This window comes from Homo sapiens, chromosome 21 (genome assembly GCF_000001405.40).
Source record: "Homo sapiens chromosome 21, GRCh38.p14 Primary Assembly".
In the NCBI taxonomy this organism is placed as follows: domain Eukaryota; kingdom Metazoa; phylum Chordata; class Mammalia; order Primates; family Hominidae; genus Homo; species Homo sapiens.
In genome coordinates, this window is record NC_000021.9 from 9944529 (window position 1) to 9950221 (window position 5693).

The window sequence follows — 5693 nt, forward strand, 5'->3', positions numbered from 1 at the left end:
AAACAAAACAAAACAAAAATCTCAAGGCTGCCAATACAGCCAGATAACTCGTGGCTATAGTTATGCCTGCTAAGGTTTGTATTCATGGGGCTTGGCTTTGATTAGCTCCCTTGGTCTTATTTTCCCAAACAAAGAAATCTCTGGGTTATGGGCACCTATTTACTCCGATCACCTGGAAGGATTTGCAGGATAATTGTTCAGAATTAAAATATTGATCCAGATTTTTTATATTACTCATCCCTTTGGTTCTTTTGAGCTGCAGCTGTACATTGCTGGTTGGTCCACAGGAATAAGCAGGGTAGTCTAAAATGTAGACAAAAACTTAAAAACAACTAATGGGATTATAATGTAATGACAAATGTAGAGTAAGTTTTGAAACATAATTTCTCTCTCTCCAGTCCTCATTTTTGCCAAAAACAAATCATGATAGGACTCAGTTGTTTGAAAAACAAACTTTAGCCTTATACTTGTCTTATTTGCATAAAGTGCAAAAAGAATAATTATTTTTCCCATAGGCTTTTAAATTGGCTTTGATGGAACTCTGTTCCATAAGGAATCTCAGTTAAGACCTTTTAAGGCCAAGCCCAGTCATGGGTTTCCACCCTCAAATATCTACGAGTTTGGTAAATCATTCTCTTCTTGATGTCTCAAGAACAAGCTTTTTAACAGGCCCAAGAGCTTTTTAACAGGCTCCTAGGCCTGTTAAAAAGTGACATGCTTTACTTCCCACGGGTTAGGAACCTTGTACAAGGACTGTGTTGACAAGGTATGTAGCCAGTTTTCCCAAGAGACTTTTATTGGCAAGTCCAGCTTAATTACTTAAAGGAACATATACCCTTCCAGTAAAAGCCTTGGTAAAACCACCAGTTTCTTCAATTGTGTCCTGTTGCAAAAGAAAATGTATTCTTATTGCACTGATGAAAATAACTGTATTGCCATAAATTAAATATTCTCACAAATAGTTTCCAAATTCTGGCAAACCCAGGCAGAGAGAAACAAACGTCCTTCAAATTTTGTTCACAGGAGTATAGTTTACTCAATTATTAAAGGCTTTAAATAATTCAAAATAAGTATCCTTGACTCAGAAAAACAAAGCAAGGAAAGTTTTAAGCAAAAAGGTTAAAAATAATACTTGTTTTCTATTAGTTCAATCCATTCTGTTCTCTTGTTCTGCTAGATATTCATGAACATTTCAGTTCTTCATGAGTACTGTATTTTTTTCAATGTCATAATCTCCAGAGTTAATGGAATCTTGCATTTGAGAACACTTGTCAAAATCCTATAGCTGATTATAAATCATCTTTTGAGTAGGATCAAAACAAGACATTTGTCTGTGAATGATGAAATGTCTAAGGTAGTTACTGTCAAGAATACAAATGACAAAGAAATTTAGTCATTTCTAGGGTTTACAATAACTAAACATAATAACCTTAATTATGATTGATAGCATATACTCAGACATTAGAATTTTAGAAATCTCATATAATTTTGAAACATATTAATATTATTCACTAAAATATAACCTAAAGCAGATTAAATATAACTTTGGAAATACCATATAACTAAACATTTCAAAAAAACCAGTTTTCTTCTCTTTTGGATGTTCCAGGGACCAGGAAAGACAATTTTGAAACTGAAGTTTGATTTTGGGAAGCCTGTTAAATATGTTAGAGGTTCAAAGCACTTGATATTATAAAATAGAATTCCAAGTTACCATATGTCATTTATTTTAACCAAAATGATGACTCAAACATTTTAAAACAACACAAAAGCATATTCACAGGTAGAGGGAAAACTTAGCTTTCCAAATGATCTGTCGTTAATTTTACAGGGAAATCCTGTTCAAGTGAAAGCCTAATTTCATCCTTGCATTAGTCTACTGTTGATGTCAACCCCAATTTTTTTAATGAAAACTTATAGATATTATATCTAATCTTATCTAGTTTGACCATGAGGTGAGATTTTTTTAAACTTTTATAACCCTTTACAAATTGTTGTTAAAGAGCAGATCAGTGCCTTTAGAAAAGCTTGTTGTGCTTTTATTTCAATGCTCAATTTACAAAAACAAAATACTTTTTTGAAATTAGTCAATATGTTCACACAATTTCTTTTGCAAGATTAATTTTTACAAACTTTTCACCATTTGTTTAAACCCTCAGCTTTATCTTATCTAATTCAAAACAATCCTTTAACCCAAGGCAAAAATTTACATTTTCATGCTTTCTTATAATCTTTTACTAAAAACATATTTTACTTTCCTTACTTACCTTATATATAAATCTATTTTCATTGTCTCGATTACAGGTTATTATGGTAACTCTTAGCAATTTTTAACTTTAATGTACAACCTGGCAAGTTGCTTTAATTATGTAGTAGTAGGCATAAATAAAATCTGATTCCTTTCTGCATAATTAAGGGTGTGGTTAATTCCATATGTCCCTGGACTTATTAATTGTGAAGCAGGCAAATTGAATAGTGTATTAGTCAATTTTCATGCTGCTGATAAAGACAATCTTGAGACTGGGCAATTTACAAAAGAAAGAGGTTTAATTGGACTTACAGTTCCACATGGCTGAGGAGGCCTCACAATCATGGCAGAAGGTAAGGGGGAGCAAGTGACATCTTATGTGGATGGTGGCAAACCAAAAAAGAGAGCTTGTGCAGAGAAACTCTCATTTTTAAAACCATCAGATCCATGAAACCCATTACTATCATGAGAACACATAAAAAGACCCACCCTCATGATTCAATCATCTCCCACTGGGTCCCTGCCACAACACATGGAAATTACAGGAGCTACAAGATGAGATTTGGGTGGGGACACAGAGCCAAACTTTATCAAATAGTTCTTAAAAGCCAAAGAAGCAGTTAATAACTTTGAAGCATTTAGCTAACCTAGTATCTGACCTACATGATTCAGCCCACATATTTACATTTTAAAGACATTTGTATTTTACCAATTATTTTTAAAACTGCCTTTATTTCTTAAAGATTATAGTCATGTGAACTCAAAAGGTATTACAGCTTTTATTTTTCTTCAAAAAATATTTGATCTAAGTGCTTATTTTCCTAGAGCTTTTTTATATAAACATCACGCCCATAAGAAATATAAAATTACACAGATGAACAAAAGCAAATTCAGTACTTGTAAGATTTTTCATTTGCCAATCTTCTGAATAGATTATTGGCCTCTGGGTGAAGCCCTTCAAGAGCAGGGCCTAGGACAGCATACAGTTTCTAGGGCCTAATAAACAGGCATAGCTGGAAGACAGAGATAGATTTTGAGAAGGATCTATCCACTTTTAATTCCTGGGGTTTCATGAGGAAAACAGAGGGTGTTGTTTTCCCCAAAATGGGGTCTGCAGCACCTTCTTTGTTTTTTCCCAGGAGCCCCGGGCTATCAGAAGTTATCTTAGAGCCTCTCATGTATGCACTGAATGACAAGACAAAATGGGGAAAAAAAAATCATTCAACAGAGAAAGAACCTTTTTCCAGAAAAACAAGATCCATGCAGAGAAAAATTTAAAGGCCTTTAAATATACCTATAACTTGGATATCCACTTTTAATTCAGCTGTGCTCTAAGAAAATCGTTTCAAATCTATTATCCAGCTTTAGCCATGCCGAGCAGCCAATATTTCTGGCTTTAGAACTTTATTAAAAATAACCTCACAGGTGAAACCAACAAGCTTCAACTAAGATTATGACTTAACTGTAAGTGTAAAAGTTATTTTCAAAGAGGTGCTAAGCAGTTTTTACAGAATCTAAGATCTTTAAAGTTGGTTCAGACAAAGGAAGATTTAAGAAAGGAAGCTAGAAGTTGTTTATAGAGGGGAAGAGAATCAGCAAATGGTAAAAGTCACACAGATATTAGCCACAATATACTCATTCCCTAAGCCAGGATTAAACCCAGGCCACCATTGTAAAATGGCAGAGGCCAAAAGAAAGTATTATCAAGTGGTTACAAGGTCAAGCTCCTAAGGACATAAAACAAGATGAAGAACTGCAGCAAGGTTTGTTACTGACCAGTTTGCCAGGCTGGCTTGATCAGCAAACTTTTGGGGTCCTAGGCCTGCATTCTATCCTAAGGTACCCCTCTTTATGACAGAACTATACAGAAAGACACACAAAGCACACTACATTGGCTACAGCTTAAGACTAGCCTCATAAATCCTTTTTTTCTATTCATCAGAACTTCAGAGAGGATATAAACAGTGATTTAAACAGAGATTTTATCATTTATTCAACTGGTTTGCACAGGGAGAGGGAGGCCAGAAGTCTGACTGGTAAGAACTTTTTTTTTTTTTTTGAGACAGAGTCTCCCTCTGTCCCCAGGCTGGAGTGCAGTGGTGTGATCTCGGCTCACTGCAAGCTCCATATCCCAGGTTCACGCCATTCTCCTGCCTCAGCCTCCGGAGTAGCTGGGACTACAGGTGCCTGCTACCATGCCCGGCTAATTTTTTGTTGTTGTTGTCGTTGCTATTTTTAGTAGAGATGGGGTTTCACCGTGTCAGCCAGGATGGTCTCCATCTCCCGACCTCGTGATCCGCCTGCCTTGGCCTCCCAAAGTGCTGGGATTACAGGCGTGAGCCACTGCACCTGGCCCTGGTAAGAACTTTTACCCTTTTGCTGGTGTACCAGACTTCTGAGTTGCCCTTTTTCATGCTCAGTTTTGAGCCAAGCAGTTTAAGGTTTGGGGAAATTAACTTTTCCCAGTTTAAGGGATGCATACAAAGGGAGTGTCCTGTGGTACAGCGACACAAGGACCCACCCACAAAGAGAGGACAGAGGAGGAAAAAGGAGAAAGGAGGTGTTTTTTCAGAAGAGTCCTAGTGATTCAGGAGGCAATCAAGAGAAATATGGGCTGCAGATGATTGGTTACTCACCTAAGAAGAGGGGAGCAAGGCATCCCTAGTTTCTTCTTTTTCCTAGTAAATACCTGAGGTACATGAGGGAGAGGAGAAAAGTGTCCTCTTTCTTTCTTCTGTTCTTATATCCCTGAGTCCTGGTGATCTTGGCAGGTTACCACCCATGGGTGCCAATGCAGCTTTCACCTATGTTAACAGGGGGCTTACAGGGTGCGAGTTATCCACCATTACCCATGCGCTGCTTGTCCCACTGTTGTTGATAACCTTTGAGTTCTTTAGATTTCATGCATGCCATGGATACTAGAATGACCTCTATCCACGAGATGGAAGGGAGCCTAATCGGCAGCAATGAGTCATGCTAACCTAAAGCTTTGGAGCTGGGTCTTCCTTAAACAAGGAAGAGAAAAGGCTATCTTGGGAATGGGGGTCCTGGCCTAATAAGAAAACAAAAACAAAAACAAACAAAAAACCTCTCATAAAAGTTAACTCCTTACAAAGTGGAGAAAAGAAAAATAAAATAAAACAGCTTAAGTGCAGGGTGGGGAAGATGCCCGAGGAGAAACCTTTTATTCTTATACAAATGAGTTCCTCCAATAGGGAGAGAGCATTTTAATTGCTGTCTCCTCCTTTCTGGCTCAGCCAGGGGAGGAAAGACACTGTGGGTGCGTGGGGAGAGGGAAGAGTGAGCAGGAAATGCTGGCCACCTAGCCAAGTGGGGCCCTTGGGCTATGTGCCTCAGCCGGGAGGGGAGGGAGGTTGGGAGTTGCCACTCTCCCATTTGTCTCACATGTGTACCTGTGGCCATTGGAGGTTGGGGTAAGGGACAT